Below are 20,880 nucleotides of genomic sequence, written 5' to 3' on the forward strand. Positions count from 1 at the left end.
GGGAGATGGTTCCTTCATCAATGCCTGTTTCCATCACTGTCATGCAGTGTCTACCCTCTCTTATATTTTCTCACAACCAGTTTTACAAAACATCCAGAGGGAACTGACACAGCGTGTCTTTGCCAGAATACCTTCTTACACGTCTTCTTCCCCTACACCCCAGAGTTTCATATACATAAAAACATGGAACTAAGCACCATGTTTTTATGTATATGAAATCGATTGTCAGATCATTTAGCAGTGGTTATATTGAAAGTGGAGAGTGAAAAAAAGAGGTAGTGAGGGAAAAAGATATTGAATCTATCCAATCATCTTTGTAGGATATAAGAAGTCTCATGGTACAGGTATAGTCAATGTGAAACCTTAACAATGCATTAATTATAAAGCTCAAGCAGTTCTGAGATAAGATGATTTTGGTTTATGGGGATACAATAAATTTGAGTCTGCAGCATATGAAAGAATTTTCCCAGATATTGCGCTTTCTTTTTCATTTTTCTCATTTTAATCAATAGAATGTAAGGATAAAGTACAAAATGTATGGAAAGAATAAAACTTTCCTGCGTCCTCCTGACTATAAAAAGGTGAGTGAATCATCTGCTTAAACACCAACCCAGTCATTTTATCTCCTGTGTCCTTGAATGAGAAGCTGGGCTGGGCACCCCTCCAGCTGGTAAGAGGATCTTTGAGTCGCATGATAGAAGGGAGAAGTCTGAACCTGCAGCTCTCTCTTTCTCTTCCCTCTGGTTTCTGGCAGGCTTTCTGCGCAGAGACCATCCTCTGTCATGATTGTGCACACACATTTCCAGTGCAGGTCCCCTTTGCCCCATTACTGTTCTGATCAGAACCCTGAGCCTGTGTGGAGATGCCTGTAAGGACAGGCAGGTCTGGCTCATTACAAAGAAACAGGATCTTTAGGCTTCCTGGGAATGGTTCACACAGTTGGGTGGGCTCTGAGATCAAGGTGTCTGCATGATTCCTGGAAAGAGATGCAGAGTAGGCATCCCTAACCTGGGCCAGGTGCCTCAAATCATAAGATTTTAGGACAGGAATTGTGTGCTCTGGTTCTTGAGAAGAACCAGAAGAGTGAGAAAGGATGCAGTGATGCACACCAACACCTCCACAAGGGAAACACGTGAATGTGCCTGTCCTTAGGACAGGGCTTAGCCGGGCCCCCCGCGCAAAAGAAGTTCAGCAGCATGGGTAGTGGAAATCAGACAAGCAGCCCTGCCCTGCATGACAGACAGCCCAGGCTCTCCATCAGAAGCTGCAAAAGTCCTAATCACTTTCCCCACAAAGTGGACATGGAAGTCCTTCTTTTTTTTTTTTTTTTTTTTACTTTTTCTTTTTCAAATTATTCTTTCTTTTTTGAGACAGGGTCACACTCTGTGGCCCAGGCTGGAGTGCAGTGGTGCAATCATGGCTTACTGTAGCCTTGACCTCCTGGACTCAGGTGATCCTCCTACCTCAGCCTCCTGAGTGGCTGGGACTACAGGTGTGCATCACCATGCCCAGCTTTTTTTTTTGTATTTTTTAGTAGAAATGAGGTTTCACCATGTTGCCCAGGCTGGTGTCAAACTTATGGGCTCAAGTAATCCACCCACCTCATCCTCCCAAACTACTGCTGGGATTACAGGTGTGAGCCACCTTGCATTTTCTTTTTTGCCTTTTTTTTTTTTTTTTTTTTTTTTTGAGATAGGGTCTCACTCTGTCGCCCAGGCTACAGTGCAGTAGCATGATTTCAGCTCACTGCAGCCTCAGCCTCCTGGGTCTAAGTGATCCTCCCACCTCAGCAGCCTGGTATCTAGGACCATAGGTGTGTGTCACCATGCCCGGCTAATTTTTTTTATTTTTTTGTAATGACAGGGATCTCCTTGTGTTGCCCAGGTTGGTCTCACACTCCTCAGCTCAAGCGATCATCTCACTTTGGCCTCCCAAAGTGCTAGGATTCAGGGATGAGCCCACTGCACCTGGCCGAAGTCCTTTCTACTTCAGATTTCCATCATGGGTAACTGTGAAATCAGAAAGGAATTGAAATGAAGAAAACTCTGTGGCTTCCTTGGTGAAGTAAACCAGTTTGGGCTAGAGAGAGGTGAGCAGCCAATGTTACAGTAGGAACAATACTTCCTGTATCCTCTTCTGAATCATTGCGTAATAGGTTTCTGACATGTAGAAAGCCCTGAAGAAACATAGCAGGGAAGGAAGTGAATGAGCCAACTGCATTGGCTCAGTGCCCGCGGAACACCCTACTTCAAGGATAAAATTGCACCTCTGCTGCCAACAGTTCAGGCAAGGGAACCTAGACAAATAATGCTTGGAATTCAACAGAAGAACAAGCCAAAAGAGGTCTAGGCATTTTAAAAAATGACTTCTAAGATTGCTCTTTTGCTTGGCTTGTTTGCGTGCTTGCTTTAGTTCAGGTGATGAGAATAGAGAGTAAATAACCCACCTCCTTATTCTAAGTAGCATCTGTTTAAATGACACAGAGGGATGTCATCCAGGTAAAAGGGTGTGGAGCCCTGCTACCTCATACTTCCCTCCTGGCTAAATGAAAAGCCAAGGGCTGCTATAAAAAGTAATTTGTGTCCAACTCTTTGGGGAGGGAAGTATTCTCATACTGAAAATGTCATACTCCAAATTTTAACCTAGTGCTCTTTCCTGCTCTTGCTCATAAAGTGATTCACATGACTTTTAGTAGCTTTAGCTTCTTCAGAATGGAGGAACAAGCAACCAGTGATCACCTGATGGAATTACACAACATGGTTTATTTTGGAGAAAACAGAAGTCAGAGTGAGGATCATTTATTTCATCAGCTTCATAATCACAAAAGTTACCCAGGCTAAAAATGATCTTTAGTCACTCTGCCTTTTATGCATCCCCCTCTGGCTTCCAAAGTCTCATACTTAATTTTTTTTTTTTTTGAAAGCTACTTTTAACTTAAAAATTCAGGCTGGGTGCTGTGGCTCACACCTGTAATCCCAGCACTTTGAGAGGCCAAGGCGTCCGGATCACCCGAGGTTGGGAGTTCGAGACCAGCCTGACCAACATGGAGAATCCCTGTCTCTACTAAAAATACAAAGTTAGCCAGGCGTGGTGGCACATGCCTGTAATCCCAGCTACTTGGGAGGCTGAGGCAGGAGAATTGCTTGAACCCGGGAGGCAGAGGGTGCGGTGAGCTGAGATCATGCCAGGCACTCCAGCCTGGGCAACAAGAGCGAATCTCTGTCTCAAAAAAAAAAAAAAAAAAAAAATCAGCTAGGCACAGTGGCTCACACTTGTAATCCCAACACTTTGGGAGGCTGAGGCAGGAGGACCACTTGAGGCCAGAAGTTCAAGACCAGCCTGGGCAACACAGCAAGACCCCATCTCTACAAAAAATTTAAAAACAGCTCTACAAGAAATTTTAAAAATTAGCTGGGTGTGGTGGTGTGAGTCTGTAGCCCTAGCTACTTGGGAGGCTGAGGTGTGAGGATTGCTTGAGCCTAGAAGTTCAAGGCTATAGTGACCTACAAATGTGCCACTGAACTTCAGCCTGGGTGACAGAGCAAGACCTTATCTCCAAAATAAAAATGAAAATAAATAGGGCCAGGCGTGGTGGCTCACACCTGTAATCCCAGCACTTTGGGAGGCCAAGGCAGGTGGGTCACTTGAGGCCAAGAGTTCAAGACCAGCCTGGCCAACATGGTGAAACCCCATCTCTACTAAAAATACAAAACTTAACAGGGTGTGGTGGCACGTGCCTGTAATCCCAGCTACTCATGAGGCTGAGGCAGGAGAATCGCTTGAACCCGGGAGGCAGAGGTTGTAGTGAGCCAAGATTGTGCCACTGCACTCCAGCCTGGGTGTCAGAGCAAGACTTGGTCTCAAAAAATAAAATAAAATAAATAAAAATTATTTCTTCTGCCCTTACTTCTGTGTCACTTTTCTCCTCACTTAATTCTTTCCATTATTCAATAATAGAAATAGGATAGCACAAGGAGTTGAGGGGGTCTCCTGAATCAGTCAAAATATGGGAGTGAGAGGGAAATGGAAGACCCTCTTACCCCAGTGTTTTGGCTGTAATCAAGAAACCAGCATGAATCCAAATTTAATCAGTCTGGTTGTACATTACAACCAGACTGAGGTAATGATGAACACTAGTGTGGTGGTTTGACAAAGGAGACCAAAGATCAAGAATTTCAGGATCTGACAGGAGGACACTTGATCTGGCAAGATAGCTAATACTTAGGAGCTTACTGTGTGGGCACTGCTCTAATCACTTTACACATGGCAACTTATTTAACCTTCACAACAATGCAGTCAGGCATTTACCATTATTGTTGCCATTTTGCAGATAAGAAAACCCAGGCACAAACTGGTGCTTTCGTTAGACACAGAGATGCACTGTCCAGATCCTCACTGTTTAGATCCTCCTTCACAGGCTTTATAACCAGTTTCCTCAACGAGAGTGACCACTGTCCCAGTTTACTCAGTCATCTCCCGATTTTAGCATTCCTTGCCCCAGTAAACCCTCAGTTGCATACAAACCAGGATGGTTGATTGCTTCAGCCCAATCCTGCTTCCTTCCCCTGCCTTCCACAGGTGTTGATCCCTAATAAACATCTTGTACCCCAGTTATGGTTGACGGGCATTCCAGCATCAGACTATGTGTTGTTTTTGTTTTTGAGACGGGTCTCACTCTGTCACCCAGGCTGGAGTGTGGTGGTGCAATCAATGCTCACCGCAACCTCTGCCTCCTGGGCTCAGGTGATCCTCCCACCTCAGCTTCCCAAGTAGCTGGGACTACAGGCACGTGCCATCACACCCAGCTAATTTTTGTATTATTATTATTATTATTATTTTTGGGACAGAGTCTTGCTCTGTCTCCCAGGCTGGAGTGCAATGGCACGATCTTGGCTCACTACAACCTCCACCTTCCGGGTTCAAGCAATTCTCCTGTCTCAGCTTCCTGAGTAGCTGGGATTACAGGCACACACCACCACGCCTGGCTAATTTTTGTATTTTTAGTAGAGACAGGGTTTTACCATGTTGGTCAGGCTGGTCTTGAACTCCTGACCTTGTGATCCACCCGCCTCGGCCTCCCAAAGTGCTGGGATTACAGGCGTGAGCCACCGTGCAACGCCTAATTTTTGTATTTTTTGTAGAGATGTGGTTTCACCATGTTGCCCAGGCTAGTCTCAAACCCGTGAGCTCAAGCGTTTCACCCCTCACGGCCTCCCAAAGTACTGGTATTACAGGCATGAGCCACTGTGCCTGGCCCCAGACTGTGTGTTCTTAATCTCAAAGCCTCACTCTCCCTTTACATAAGTGTTCTGGGCACTGGAAAGGGGTAATCAACAGAAGTCCAGACAGGTTCTCCAGGCTCTGTATAGCCCAGATGAAATATTCCCAATAGTAATGAAAGTAGCTCACGTTTACTCAGTGTGCTAGGAGATGAGCTAAGTGCTTTGCGTGTGAAGGAGGTTCTATCAATATTCTTTTTTTTTTTTTGTAGAAGCTTTATTTTTTTTATTTTTTTTTTTTTTATTGATCATTCTTGGGTGTTTCTCGCATAGGGGGATTTGGCAGGGTCATAGGACAATAGCGGAGGGAAGGTCAGCAGATAAACAAGTGAACAAAGGTCTCTGGTTTTCCTAGGCAGAGGACCCTGCGGCCTACCACAGTGTTTGTGTCCCTGGGTACTTGAGATTAGGGACTGGTGATGACTCTTAACGAGCATGCTGCCTTCAAGCATCTGTTTAACAAAGCACATCTTGCACCGCCCTTAATCCATTTAACCCTGAGTGGACACAGCACATGTTTCAGAGAGCACAGGGTTGTGGGTAAGGTCATAGATCAACAGCATCCCAAGGCAGAAGAATTTTTCTTAGTATAGAACAAAATGGAGTCTCCTATGTCTACTTCTTTCTACACAGACACAGCAACAATCTGATTTCTCTATCTTTTCCCCACATTTCCCCCTTTTCTATTTGACAAAACCGCCATCATCATGGCCCGTTCTCAATGAGCTGTTGGGTACACCTCCCAGAAGGGGTGGCGGCCGGGCAGAGGGGCTCCTCACTTCCCAGAAGGGGCGGCCGGGCAGAGGCGCCCCCCACCTCCCGGATGGGGCGGCTGGCCGGGCGGGGGCTGCCCCCCACCTCCCTCCCGGGTGGGGCAGCTGGCCGGGTGGGGGCTGCCCCCCACCTCCTGGACGGGGCGGCTGCCGGGCGGAGACGCTCCTCACTTCCCAGACAGGGCAGCTGCTGGGCGGAGGGGCTCCTCACTTCTCAGACGGGGCGGCTGCCGGGCGGAGGGGCTCCTCACTTCTCAGACGGGGCGGCCGGGCAGAGACGCTCCCAGATGGGGTCGCGGCCGGGCAGAGGCACTCCTCACATCCCAGATGGGGCGGCAGGGCAGAGGCGCTCCCCACATCTCAGACGATGGGCGGCGGGGCAGAGACGCTCCTCACTTCCTAGATGGGATGGCAGCCGGGAAGAGGCGCTCCTCACTTCCCAGACTGGGCAGCCGGGCAGAGGGGCTCCTCACATCCCAGACCATGGGCGGCCAGGCAGAGACGCTCCTCACTTCCCAGACGGGGTGGTGGCCGGGCAGAGGCTGCAATCTCAGCACTTTGGGAGGCCAAGGCAGGCGGCTGGGAGGTGGAGGTTGTAGCTAGCCGAGATCACACCACTGCACTCCAGCCTGGGCAACATTGAGCACTGAGTGAACGAGACTCCGTCTGCAATCCCGGCACCTCGGGAGGCCGAGGCTGGCAGATGACTCGCGGTTAGGAGCTGGAGACCAGCCCAGCCAACACAGCGAAACCCCGTCTCCATCAAAAAAATACGAAAACCAGTCAGGCGTGGCGGCGCGCCCCTGCAATCACAGGCACTGGGCAGGCTGAGGCAGGAGAATCAGGCAGGGAGGTTGCAGTGAGCCGAGATGGTAGCAGTACAGTCCAGCTTCGGCTTGGCATCAGAGGGAGACCACGGAAAGAGAGGGAGAGGGAGACCGTGGGGAGAGGGAGGGGGAGGGGGGAGGGGGAGAGGGGGAGGGGGAGGGGGGAGGGGGAGGGGGAGGGGGGGAGGGGGGAGGGAGGGGGAGGGGGGGAGGGGGAGAGGGAGAGGGAGAGCCAATATTCTTATTTTACAAATGAGAAGGCTGAGGCTTAGAGAGTTTACTAGCCCAAGAACAAGTCTCAGGATTTTAACCTATGCACTCTGCCCCTAGACTCCAAATTAGAGATACAGATAAAGCTGAATAGCTTAGTGTTACAAAACGGAAAGAGGTGTTTTTTGGAGTAGAGTTGTAGACGGGTTCAAGGCAGTCAGTGAAGATGTAAAAAGAGCCCAGCAAAATGTCAAGAGGCTACAGTCCAAGTTGTCAAAAAGAAACTAAGAGAGTTTAAGAACAGGACATTAAATATTCAACTGTAAGTTGTTTATATTGCAATAAACCTCTATTGTTCTCTCCATCTTCTCAAATCTTCTCAAGCCTTGAGTAAAGTCTGACGCAGCAGGGCCTTACATTTAGTGTGTGAGTGTAAACCACAAAGAGACTGCCTGAGCAGAGTATAGGAATCAGTAGAGGCAAGAAATCAGTTAAAGGTGTCTTGTGACAGCCCTCTTCAAATTCCCCTCACTCTCCCACCTGCCCCCAGCCTGGAAGAATTTAGAGATGTTTAGGAGATTATTGGACTTTCCACAGCCTTGGAAAGAGATTTGAGCAAAATTTATCTACGTCTTTAGGGACAGGGAGATTCCACATAATAGGTGACAAGTACATGCATGAGAAGGAGTTTATTAAGATAAATAAAAAATGATAATGGTAGCTCTCTCTAAGAGAGGGAAGTAGGAAAATGGTTAATTTGCATTTGCCTTTTAGTGCTTTTCCTAGGTTTTCAAAATTTGTACAACAAATATGTTACCTTTGTAGCCCGAGAACAGAACAATAAATTATCAAAAAATTATCAAAATGATCAATGTCTGTTTCTCTTTTGTTCCTAACTATATAGACTCTTCTGTCTCTTGGATGTGTCTAGTCACTAAAAAGAAACAGACAAAATAAACACACATGTAAACCATGCCATTGATTCATTTATGTATAGATGTTTCATATAATTATAGAAAAAATGGTCTACATATCAAGTGAGAACTCATTACCTTAGTGATAAAGTACACAAAATATTTTGGGTCAATATCATGAGACTAGGAAGAACAAAGTATCTTTAAGATATAAAGTCAGTCCTTCAGACTTTGATCAGGCCAAGGCTGAGACTGATAAGACCTAGTTTTAGTTTTGACTTGCTTCTTGACTCATGTACTTTTGAGTGTGCAGGCAATTTCCTGTCTTCAGCTTTCCTATTTTCAAAGTGACCAATATTACCTGCAAACAGATTCTTATAAAGATTTTTGTGGTCTCAGGATTAAAGTGTCTATATAAAAGGAGAGTTATGATTGTGACATATTTCAGTGTTACTGATCAAACAAGTGACCACTAACGTTCAGACCAAAAAACAGAAACAAGGCCAAGCATGGTGGCTCACGCCTGTAATCCCACACTTTGGGAGGCCGAGGTGGGTGGATCACCTGAGGTCAGGAGTTCGAGACCAGCCTGGCCAACATGGTAAAACCTCGTCTCTACTGAAAACACAAAAATTAGCTGGGTGTGATGGGACACGCCTGTAATCCCAGCTACTGGGGAGGCTGAGGCAGGAGAATCGCTTGAACCTGGGAGGCGGAGGTTGCAGTGAGCTGAGGTAGTGCCACTGCACTCCAGCCTGGGCGACAGAGTGAGCCTCCATCTCAAAAAAGAAAAAAAGAAGAAAAAACAGAAACAAAAAATTATGAACAAATTTTCTTGCTTCATTTAAATAACATAAGTCCTAGTACTTAATGAAAAGGCTAATTTAAAACATGAATGTTTCCCTCTTATTCATCAGAAATATTTGATAAGAAATAAAGTTGTAGTTTATTGTCTTTGCATAGCTCAGATACTTTGCGGGTACAAAGGGATGAAAGATACATGATTTCATATCTTGGAAATATCACTTTGACTTGTTAATTTCCACACCTGGGCAGGGTGTGATGTGAAAATGAATACTCTTTGTTCTTTTAGTAAAATGAACAGACTCGGAGGAAGGCATGGAAAGTTTAAAGTGTCATTATAAAGAGAAAGGAGATTCTGTAAGCCTTTAGCTCCCAGTCCTCTTCACTGAGAAGTCGAAATGTATCATTTCTCTCATCCTTGATGTTAGTGTGAACCTAGCTACTAGTTTCCCTCTTTCTTCTGCTGAGATAGTGCTTACACCCAAGGCGCTGATTCTGTTTCTGATTCTTAGCCACTGGGCAAGATTTACTACTTGGATTCAACTTATGAATGAACATATTTCAATCTTATAGTGATTTTAATATTTCTTTATCGTTAGTAAGAACTTAAAAATCATGAGGATATAATGTTATTAGTGATAAATTTTATTTTACTTTTTTGGAACCAGAACTGCCAGATGAGGATTCTATTTTTTTATTTTTTTTATTTTCATTGTTTTGAGACAGAATCTGGCTCTGTGGCTCAGGCTGGAGTGCAGCGGTGTGATCTCAGCTCACTCCAACCTCCACCTTCAGAGTTCAAGTGATTCTTGTGCCTCAGCCTCCCGAGTAGCTGGGATTATAGGTGTGTGCCACCATGCCCAGATAATTTTTGTATTTTTAGTAGAGACGAGTTTTCACCATGTTGGCCAGGCTGGTCTCGAACTCCTGGACTCAAGTGATCAGCCCACCTCAGCCTCCCAAAGTGCTGGGATTACAGACGTGAGCCTATAAACTGAACCACACCCGGTTCAGTTAAAAATTTTAGAACAGGATTTGTAAATTTCCTAACTACATGCATATGACATTCACCTACTGCAATGACAGCAATAACATTTCTTTTTTTCCTTTTTTCTTTTTTCTTTTTTTTTTTTTTTTTTTGAGACAGTCTTGCTCTGTCGCCAGGCTGGAATGCAATGGCGCGATCTCAGCTCACTGCAATCTCCGCCTCCCAGGTTCAAGCGATTCTCCTGCCCCAGCCTTCTGAGTAGCTGGGATTACAAGCGCACTCCACTACACCCAGCTAATTTTTGTATTTTTACTAGAGATGGAGTTTCACTGTGTTAGCCAGGATGGTCTCGATCTCCTGACCTCATGATCCGCCCACCTCGGCCTCCCAAAGCGCTGGTATTACAGGCGTGAGCCACTGTACCCGGCCAACATTTCTTTTTAACTAGTGGATAAAATATGAAATTAAAAGGAAAAGTCTGTATCTAAGGTAATATATATTTTAAGGTTTTTCCTATGATCATTTAAAAATTGGCTTCTCTGGTTTAGATCCCAGTTTGGAAAATCAGATATAAAAGACATTTTGGGAATTGGGAGAAAATTTGAACATGGACTGAATGTTAGGTGATATTAAGGGGTTAGTATTAATTTTGTTCAGTGAGATAATATTATTTTAGCTATGAAGGAAAATGTTTTTACATTTTAATGACATATGCTAAAGTATTTATGGGTGGGATATTACTATGTCTCCAATTTGTGATGGCAAAAGATCACTCCTTAGATGGCTTGGCAGTCACTCTGAAGGGGAAAAACACAACTTTACAGGGTGAAATCTGGGAGTTACCACCTAAACCCAGTGACCAATTTTGGCATCACCAAAAGAGAGACACTAAATTATGTACCTCTTGATATACATAAATACATATATACATATGATACATGTGAGTTACATACATATATATATGTATGTATGAAGTACAGCCTTGTGTCTGTATTTGTATCAGCCTTGTATCTGTACAGCCTTGTATCTGAAGTATTGCTGCCAAGATGTTTAATCTACATTTTTTTTTTTGAGACAGGGTCTCACTCTGCGCCCAGGCTGGAATGCAGTGGCATGATCTTGGCTCACTGCAACTCTGCCTCCCGGGTTCAAGCGATTCTCCTGTCTCAGCCTCCCAAGTAGCTGGGATTACAGGCACCTCCCACCACTCCTGGCTAATTTTTATATTTTTAGTAGAGATGGGGTTTTGCCATGTTGGCCAGGCTGGTCTCGAACTCCTGACCTCAGGTGATCCGCCCACCTCAGCCTCCCAAAATGTTGGGATTACAAGCGTGAGCCACTGCACCCGGCCGACAAATAGTCTTAAAATGGGAATACTTGGCCGACAAATAGTCTTAAAACGGGAATATCTGGCCGGGCGTGATGGCTCACGCCATCTCATAAAACAAAACAAAAAAGAAACTGGAATACCTAATATAAAGGTTTTACTACACAAGAGGAAGGGGAAGATAGCTACAATCAGTATTTTATGAGCACTTACCACACGCTAGGCACCATGCCACGTGTTGGAGATACTGCAATCAACAAGTGGCCCCTGCATAGTGGAATGTACTGTCTGGAGTGAAAGACAGACAAAAACATGCAAACAGACAAATAACACAAATAACATGAGTTTGGAGAGTAATTCCTCTGATGGAAGAAACAAACAAGCACTACGGAGAAGAACAACAGTTGTGATGGTCAGAAAAGGGATCTCCTTGAAGGCACATGCAGGCTGTGTCTTATAAGAGAAGCAGGAGTCAGCCAGAGGGAAGGTAAAGAGAAGAGCTATCTAAACAGAAGCAGCTGTGTGCACAGAACTCCTGGGGGGGAGATGGAATAAGGAAAGCCAATGTGATTCAGGTGTAGTGAGCAAGGAGGACTGTGACACAGGGTGAACTAGAGAAGTAGCTTTCAGGTCACGGCAAAAAATTTAATTTTTTTCCCCCAAAGTGCAGTGAGTAGCCATATTCCACAATATTCTTTTTTTTTTCTTTTCTTTTGTAGAGATGGGGTGTCATTATGTTTCCCAGGCCTGTTTTGAATTCCTGGTCTCAAATGATCCTCCTGCCTTGGCCTCACAAAGTGCTGGAATTACAGGCATGAGCCACTGCACCTGGCCAACGATATTCATTAATTTAAGGAAATTCCACTTTTAAGAATACTTAGGGCATTTGCTAATACACTAAAAGCTTAAGAGTCACAACTACATGTCTTACACTCCAGCCATACTCAACCACTCACTGGGACCCTTTCAGTTCTATTTGGATGCCTCCCACCTGCCAATAGAGCAAATTGATACTCATCTGGGGTATTAGGAATCTATTGCTGTATAACAAATTATCCCAAAAGGTAGTGATCTAAACCAATGATAAACATTTATTACCTCACAGTTTCTGGGGTTGGGAATTCTGAGTGGCTTAGCTGTATGGTTCTAGTTCATGGTCTCACATGCAGTTGCAGTCAAGATGTTGGCTGAGGCTGCAGTCATCCAAAGACCTGACTGGGACTGGAGGAGCCACTTCCAAGATGGCTCACCCACGTGGCTGTTGTGGGCAGGAGGCCTTACTTTCTTGCCATGTAGTCATCTTCATAGATCTGCTTGAGTGTCCTCGTGACATGGCAGCTGACTTCCTTCACAGTGAGTGATCCAAGGAAGAGAGTAAACAGGAAACCATAATGCTGCTGATAACCTCATCTTTGAAGTACACTGTCACTTCTGCCATTTTCTATTAGTGTCACTAGTAGACAGCACAAAGAAGTTGACACCAAGTGCTGTGGCTCATGCCTGTAATCCCAGCACTTTGGTAGGCCAAGGCAGGCAGATCATCTGAGGTCAGGAGTTCGAGACCAGCCTGGCCAACACAGTGAAACCCCGTCTCTACTGAAAATACAAAAACTAGCCGAACATGGTGGTGGGTGCCTGTAATCCCAGCTACTTGGGAGGCTGAGTGTCACTAAGTCCAGTCCACACTCAAAGGGAGGGGAGTTAAGTTCCACCTCTTGAAAGGAGAAGTATCTAAAAATTTGTGAACATATTTTAAAACTACCACATTTGGTGACCCAGCTCAAATGTCATCTTCTATGTGAAGCCTTTCTTGATTTTCCTGAGCAGACCTAGTCATTCTCTTCTCTCAGTTTTCACAGCATGTCATTTCTATTCCTTAAAGCTCTTGTCTTTTTAACTGTAATCAATTGATTTACATGCTTGTCTTTCAACTAGCCTGGAAGATGCTTCAGGCCAAGATAATGTGTTTTATTAATCATTTGTATCCTCAATCTGCTCATTAGTGAAATCCTAGGAACACTACGAAATACTACCTTCCACCACTCCTAACACAAGTTTTTAAAAGATCCCTTCGCACTTAATGCTTTTCTTGCTTTTTCATATTCTTGGTTTACTCTCCCTCTCCCTTCTGAACTAGAAGACAATTTCAAAAATAAGACTGTATTAGTTATCATTTTTAAAAATTCTTTATAATGACAAAGACAATGCTCTGCATTACAGTAATAGATTTTTAAAAGAATTAAATAAGAGAAGCCCCTTTAGAGTTAAAAAAATATTTCTAACTTCTTTAATAATCAGAATATCTAATGGCTATCTCGGTTCTATGTAAACCCTAACAAGAAAAAGATAACCTCAGTTCATAATGCATAAAACATGCAGCACTGAGAAAAAAGACCTCTGAAGTACAGGGGTGTTCTATTCTGTTTTGTTTGCTTCCTTATTGTTTGGGAGAGGAGACAGCTAACAATGAAGCTTTCTTTAGCATTCAGTGGAAAGAACGTCAAGAAATCTTGTTTTTATTTTCTCTTGAAAAATGAGAAGCCATATTCCCTCCCATAGTTACAAAGTATCATCCTGTCCTTGATCTCTGTTTCTAGAATGTTCTCAATTCAGATGGTTTTTATCTAGATTCAGTTGGAGGCCTGGATGGCCTTGGTTCTGATAACTAGAAATCTTGTGACAATCTCAGAAGTCTTCTGGGGCAGATTTCTTTGGTTTTGGGACAAGATTTGACCAGCCCTGAATCTGTGACAGGTCTGGGAGGGGCAGGGGAAGAAATGAGCAGAACCTGGAACAAGGTCTACACCTCCGCCCCCTTACAACTTGACTAGGAAGTTCTTTCTGATGGTCCCTCATTCAAGAGTCAAGATTACTACACATTAAAATTTTAAAAAGACAATGGAAGAGCTCCCAGCAAAATAGCCTATGTGGCAGTTTAGAGGGTGACTTTCTTCTCAAAAAGAGAAAGTGGATGTAAACCAACTCTTCTCCTTTCTTTCTCTGACCTGTAAAGGCAGAACTGCCTGGACAGGACAAAAATGCCTGATTTTACTGAACAATCCTATTTCTTTCTCTTCTTTTCTCTTTCTTTCTTTCCTTCCTTCCTTTCTTTCTTTCTTTTTTTTCAAGACAGAGTTTCGCTCTTGTTGCCCAGGCTACAGTGCAATGGCACGATCTCGGCTCACTGCAAACTCCATCTCCCGGGTTCAAGCGATTCTTCTGCCTCAGCCTCCCGAGTAGCTGGGATCACAGGCGTGCAGCACCACACCCAGCTAAGTTGTATTTTTAGTAGAGACAGGGTTTCTCCATGTTAGTCAGGCTGGTCTTGAACTTCCGACCTCAGGTGATCCACCCACTTCGGCCTCCCAAAGTGCTGGGATTACAGGCATGAGCCACTGTGCCCGGCCATGGACGATCCTATTTCTTTTTTTCTTTTTTTATTTTATTTTTTGAGACAGAGTATTGCTCTGTCACCCAGGCTGGAGTACAGTGGTGCGATCTCAGCTCAAACTGCAGCCTCTGCCTTCTGGGTTCAAGTGATTCTCATGCCTCAGCCTCCCGAGTAGGTGGGATTACAGGCACCTGCTACCATGCTAGGCTAATTTTTGTATTTTTAGTAGAGACAGGGTTTCACCAAATTGACCAGGCTGGTCTTGAACTCCTGGCCTCAAGTGATCCACCTGCCTCGGCCTCCCAAAGTGCTGGGGTTACAGGTGTGAGCCACCACCCTCAGCCTGGATAATCCTATTTCTTTCCTTTTTTTTTTTTTTTGAGACAGAGTCTTGCTCTGTTGCCCAGACTGGAGTGCAGTGGTGCAATCTCGGCTCACTGCAACCTCCTCCTCCTGGGTTCAAGCGATTCTCCTGCCTCAGCCTCACGAGTAGCTGGGATTACAGGTGCACGCCACCATGCCTGGCTAATTTTTGTATTTTTAGTAGAGACTGGGTTTCACCATGTTGGTCAGGCTGATCTCAAACACCTGACCTCGTGATCCACCTGCTTCAGCCTCCCAAAGTGCTGGGATTACAGGCATAAGCCACCACATCCTGGCCGACAGTCCTATTTCTAAGAAGGTGATCCACTCATGCTGAATCAGATAACACAGTAAGCTCACAGTGGGCCCTCAAACAATGGTCATTGCTCTGATAGTTATAATGCTAATGTTGGTTGGGTTCTCTGATACTGGGACACCAGGCTGTGATCAAATCCTGGGGGACCTCTTCAGCAGGAGAGCAAATAGGTTCTGAAGGAAGAGTCAGAGAATCTGGATTTCATGGCATTTATTTGTCCTGAATGCATTCAATTTTTTTTTTCTTTTCTTTTGAGACAGGTTCTCACTCTTTTACACAGGCTGGAGTACATTGACATGATCATGGCTCACTGCAGCCTCTACCTCCTGGCTCAGGTGATTCTCCCACCTCAGCCTCCCTGGTAGGTGGGACTACAGGCACGTGCCACCATGCTCGGCTAATTTTTGTATTTTTTGTAGGGCTGAGGTTTTGCCATGTTGCCCAGGCTGGTCTCAAACTCCTGGGCTCAAATAATCCTCCCACGTCAGCCTCTCAAATTGTTGGGATTATAGGCAAAAGCCATTGCACCCAACCCACATTCACATTTTACATGTCTCAATTAAATAGCCCACCAAATTTGGAAGGAAGAACTAAGCTTTTAAAAATGTCTGAAAGAGGTACATCCTGGGAAAACTCTCCCTCCTCTCAGTATGGAGGAGGCTTCTAAGGGAGGAGGTCACCTCCATCCTTCCTAGAGAGAACAGAAGACACAGGGGTGTTTGTTTCACCTAGGAGATGACAGCACAAATTACTGTTTTCTCTGTTAACAAATTTCTGAAACATGTTAGTGCCTTGTCTGTTGCCTGAAAGGGTGGAGGGCAGAGTATAAAACTGCAAATTGCTAGTTAGGTATCCGGTATTCCAGTTTTAAGAAATCTGGAATTCATGATTATGTTATGTTTAATTTCAAATTTAATGTTAAATCTGGAAAATCTAAAATATTTGTGACAACAAATTAAATGACAAATGAACTTGAAAATAAATGCAGAAAGATCAAGAGTTAAAAAAAAATTCAGTTAATCCACTGTCTGTTTACCTTGTGGCTCTCTTTTCTAAGTTAACTGGAAAATATTTAATCACATGCCTTTAATTAAAGCTCTGTACCCGTGGAGAAGCACAAGTAGGGTTTGTTTCACTTAGGCAAGAATGTCCAATGGTTCAGTTGCTAGAAAATTGGTATTTAATAACATCTAGCAGATGTTAACATTCTAGAAGAGATTCCCATTTTTTTAAAACTTGTGGAGAAAAAAACTGAACCTTACTGAGAGGGAAACAGCCTTCAATATCTTTTCTCCTCCTCCTCCTCCTCCTCCTTCTCCTCATCCTTCTCCTCATTCTCCTCCTTCTTCTCCTCCTTCTCCTTCTCCTGAGCATATTCAACATAATTGTCTGGGTGGGATGGACACTCTGAGATCCATTTGTGAGAAACACTGACTAATTTCATTAACTACCGCTAAACCAACCTGCAGATGTCATATGATAAACAGACCAGAGGCAAGGTCCTGTGTCATGGGGGAAGGCACCACATTGGGCTGGCAACCAGGGATCCTGCTTCTAGCCCAATTTTTCTGGGAACAATCTATATAATCCAGGTAAGGTCATTCATTTCTCTGGGCCTCAGTGTGCCTCTCTAGACCTTCAGTGGGTTGACTAGATGGCTGATAATATGTAGCTAATATTTGGTGGGTCTTGCAGCTCTGCACATGGCCAGATACCCTGACGTCCAATGTGGTATACAGCACAGGCTCCAGGGCAAGACTGGGTTCATTCAGACTGACTCTTAGGTGAGTGTGCTCACTGCCTCATTCTTCAGCCTTCACATCTATAAAATGGGGATGATCATAGACCCTACATTATAGGACTGCTACAGGTCTAAATGTGATATTATACCTAAATCCCTTAGAATACAGCCTAGCATAAATGTTTGCTGACATTTGATTTAAAAAAATGCCTTTCTGGCCAGGCACTGTGGTTCATGCCTGTAATCCCAGCACTTTGAGAGGCTGAGGTGGGCAGATCACTTGAGGTCAGGAGTTTGAGACCAACCTGGCCAACATGGTGAAACCCTCTCTCTACTAAAAATACAAAAATTAGCCAGGAATGGTGGCAGGCGCCTGTAATCCCAGCTACTTGGAAGGCTGAAATAGGCGAATCACTTGAACCTGGGAGGCAGAAGTTGCAGTGAACCAAGATCACACCACTGCACTCCAGCCTGGGTAACAGAGTGAGACTCTGTCTCTAATAATAATAATAATAATTTAAAAAATGCCTGTCTTTCCAGATGGATTTTTCTGAGTTTAATACTTTTGCCTGGTCACCAATACCAACTGTCTGGAGGGTCCATATGTGCCCTGTGAATATTTTGTGACTTTTATCATCCCGTGGAAGTATTGAATGAATGTTCTGCATGGCTTTTAGAGTTCTAATTTTCAAGCTGTGAAAAAAGAGAAATTTGGTAGGAAAAAAGCCCTATGCTTTAAATACCTCTAATATTTTTTGGTTTTAATTTCATGCGGAGTGGCTGCTGTTCAATCACATTAAGTTCAAGATCTGAAGGTTGAGTATCAGGATCCGAAGGGAGATATTAGAAATGCTGATAGCCCCCATGGTCTTACAAGTCATTAGATCTTCCCCAGACCCCAGCTCAAAGGCATTTACTCATCCACTTATCTATTCTTTCACCCACAAGCTTATATTGAGCACTTGCTATATGTTAGTCACTGTACAAAGTAAATAATACATGGTTCCTCCTTTTGAAGAGCTCAGAGCTTATGAGGAAGACAGATGAACAAATGGGTGAATTACCAAAGTGGTAACTGTTGCTACAAGGACATAAAACCAAGCAATTAATTGTGCCTGGGGGAGCCAGGACGTGACAACTGAAGTGGGCTGAGAATGGCAAGTGAAACCTATGTGTGTGTGATTGTCTGTCTTTATCTGTCTGAGTATTATGGGCAGGGGGAAGAGAAAAGGCCTTGTGAAAGGCATTGAGGCCTGTTGGGAGGCACAATCTACATGCTTTGGAAATAAGAAACTTTTTTTAACTGGCAGGAAAAAGAAGGGAAACCACCCCATCTAACTTCCCACCTTCCTTCTAGGAAGAGAGAATTTGTATTAGATGTACTGATGATAAAGGGAATATACCCATAAGATATTTAAATGTTAAGTCTATAAAGTAGGAGCATAGGCTGGGCATGGTGGCTCATGCCTGTAATCCCAGCACTTTGGGAGGCCGAGGCAGGTAGATCACTTGAGGCCAGGAGTTCAAGACCAGCCTGGCCAACGCGATGAAACCCTGTGTCTAATAAAAAAATTAGCCGGGTGTTGTGGCACACGCCTGTAGTCCCAGCTACTCCAGAGGCTGAAATGCAAGAGTCGCTTAAACCCAGGAGGCGGAGGTTGGAGCGAGCCGAGATTGCACCACTGCACTCCAGCCTCAGTGACAGAGAAAGACTCAAAAAACAAAAACAAAAAAAAAGAAAAAAAAAAGTAGGAGGCAGAGATTGCAGCGAGCTGAGATTGCACCACTGCATTCCAGCCTGGGTGACAGAGTGAGTCTCAAAAAAAGCAAAAAGGCCAGGCGCGGTGGCTGAAGCCTGTAATCCCAGCACTTTGGGAGGCTGAGGCGGGCAGATCATGAGGTCAGGAGATCGAGACCAACTTGGCCAACATGGTGAAACCCCGTCTCCGCTAAAAATACAAAAATTAGCTGGGCATGGTGGCACGTGCCTGTAGTCTCAGCTACTCGGGAGGCTGAAGGCAGGAAAATCACTTGAACCTAGGAAGCGGAGGTTGCAGTTTGCCGAGATTGTGCCACTGCACTCCACCCTGGCGACAGAGTGAGACTCCGTCTCAAAAAAAGAAAAAAAAAAAAGAAAAAGAAAAAAAAGTAGGAGCATAATGATTTTGAGTACCTCCGAAAGAACCTGGTATAGGCACAAAGCAGCTAAATTATTCCCAAAATGTATGCAGTACAGGATGACATCTACAATTCTCAAAAAATCTCTTTTGGCTGGGCACGGTGGCTCACGCCTGTAATCCTAGCACTTTGGGAGGGCGAGTCGGGCGGATCACCTGAAGTCAGGAGTTCAAGACCAGCCTGGCTAACATGGTGAAATCCCGTCTTTACTAAAATTACAAAAATTACTCGGGCGTGGTTATGCGTGCCTGTAATCCCAGGTACCCGGGAGACTGAGGCGGGAGAATCGTTGGAACCCAGAGAAAAAATTTTGAGACAGAGTCTCGCTCTGTCGCCCAGGCTGGAGTGCAGTGATGCGATCTCGGCTCACTGCAAGCTCCGCCTCCTGGGTTCAAGCCATTCTCCCGCCTCAGCCTCCCGAGTAGCTGGGACCACAGGCGCCCGCCACCACGCCTGGCTAATTTTTTTGTATTTTTAGCAGAGACGGAGTTTCACCATGTTAGCCAGGATAGTCTCTATCTCCTGACCTCGTGATCCGCTGCCTCGGCTTCCCAAAGTGCTGGGATTACAGGCGTGAGCCGCCGCGCCTGGCCTAAAAAAAAAAAAAAAAAAAAAAAAAAAAAAAGTCCTTTTTAAGGCAGGCTTGTGAGAAGGTAAGGAGAAATAATGTGAAAATATGGAAGATAAACTCACTCTAGGAGTTTAGAAGCCTGCAAAATCAGTATAATGAGCACTCATATCCCTAGCACCGGGATTCAACAATCATTACATTTTTCCATTTCACCATATTTGATTCATATATATGTATATGTGTATATATACATTTTCAGAACCATTTTAAAGAAAATTACAGATATTTTATACTGCAATACTTTAACACACATGCACACATTTCCAAAAATTAAAGATGCTCTCCTTCATACCCAGACAGCAGTATCACATCTAAGACAATAAGAAATAATTCCCAGGCTGCGCTCGGTGGCTCATGCCTATAATCCCAGCACTTTGGGAAGCCGAGGCGGGCGGATCACCTGAGGTCGGGAGTTTGAGCCAGCCTGACCAACATGGAAAAACCCCATCTCTACTAAAAATACAAAATTAGCTGGCGTGGTGGAGGATGCCTGTAATCCCAGCTACTCAGGAGACTGAGGCAGGAGAATCGCTTGAACGCAGGAGGCAGAAGTTGCGGTGAGCCGAGATCACGCTCTTTAGCCTGGGCAACAAGAGCAAAACTACGTCTCACAAAAAAAAAAAAAAATCCCTAATTTCCAATGCGGGGTCCATATTTATATTTCTGTATAGTCCCCAAACTATCTTTTATAGCTATTATTTAGACAAGACATTTATGTATTTTTAATGGGTGGCATGTTTTTTGGCACCTTTTGGGCACGGACAAGTCTAATTTCTACTTCGAACTGTTTTTTTTTTGTTGTTGTATTTTTTTTATTATTTTTTTTTTATTGATCATTCTTGGGTGTTTCTCGCAGAGGGGGATTTGGCAGGGTCATAGGACAATAGTGGAGGGAAGGTCAGCAGATAAACAAGTGAACAAAGGTCTCTGGTTTTCCTAGGCAGAGTGTTTGTGTCCCTGGGTACTTGAGATTAGGGAGTGGTGATGACTCTTAACGAGCATGCTGCCTTCAAGCATCTGTTTAACAAAGCACATCTTGCACCGCCCTTAATCCATTTAACCCTGAGTGGACACAGCACATGTTTCAGAGAGCACAGGGTTGGGGGTAAGGTCATAGATCAACAGGATCCCAAGGCAG

At 44.5% G+C, this 20,880-nt stretch overlaps 5 annotated features.

Annotated features, from left to right (window-relative positions):
* Window positions 1,918-2,067: an enhancer, noted in NCBI's record as "active region_24805". NCBI's record gives its function as "activates an Ori minimal core promoter by ATAC-STARR-seq in GM12878 lymphoblastoid cells {active_cell/tissue: GM12878}" and the evidence as "EXISTENCE:reporter gene assay evidence [ECO:0000049][PMID:35858748]".
* Window positions 5,452-6,116: an enhancer, noted in NCBI's record as "NANOG-H3K27ac hESC enhancer chr6:88445010-88445674 (GRCh37/hg19 assembly coordinates)". NCBI's record gives its function as "activates a minimal SCP1, AML or CMV promoter by ChIP-STARR-seq in naive H9 embryonic stem cells {active_cell/tissue: H9 hESC(naive)}" and the evidence as "EXISTENCE:reporter gene assay evidence [ECO:0000049][PMID:30033119]".
* Window positions 7,238-7,297: an enhancer, noted in NCBI's record as "active region_24806". NCBI's record gives its function as "activates an Ori minimal core promoter by ATAC-STARR-seq in GM12878 lymphoblastoid cells {active_cell/tissue: GM12878}" and the evidence as "EXISTENCE:reporter gene assay evidence [ECO:0000049][PMID:35858748]".
* Window positions 7,378-7,427: an enhancer, noted in NCBI's record as "active region_24807". NCBI's record gives its function as "activates an Ori minimal core promoter by ATAC-STARR-seq in GM12878 lymphoblastoid cells {active_cell/tissue: GM12878}" and the evidence as "EXISTENCE:reporter gene assay evidence [ECO:0000049][PMID:35858748]".
* Window positions 12,419-12,568: an enhancer, noted in NCBI's record as "active region_24808". NCBI's record gives its function as "activates an Ori minimal core promoter by ATAC-STARR-seq in GM12878 lymphoblastoid cells {active_cell/tissue: GM12878}" and the evidence as "EXISTENCE:reporter gene assay evidence [ECO:0000049][PMID:35858748]".

This window comes from Homo sapiens, chromosome 6 (genome assembly GCF_000001405.40).
Source record: "Homo sapiens chromosome 6, GRCh38.p14 Primary Assembly".
Classification (NCBI taxonomy): Eukaryota; Metazoa; Chordata; class Mammalia; order Primates; family Hominidae; genus Homo; species Homo sapiens.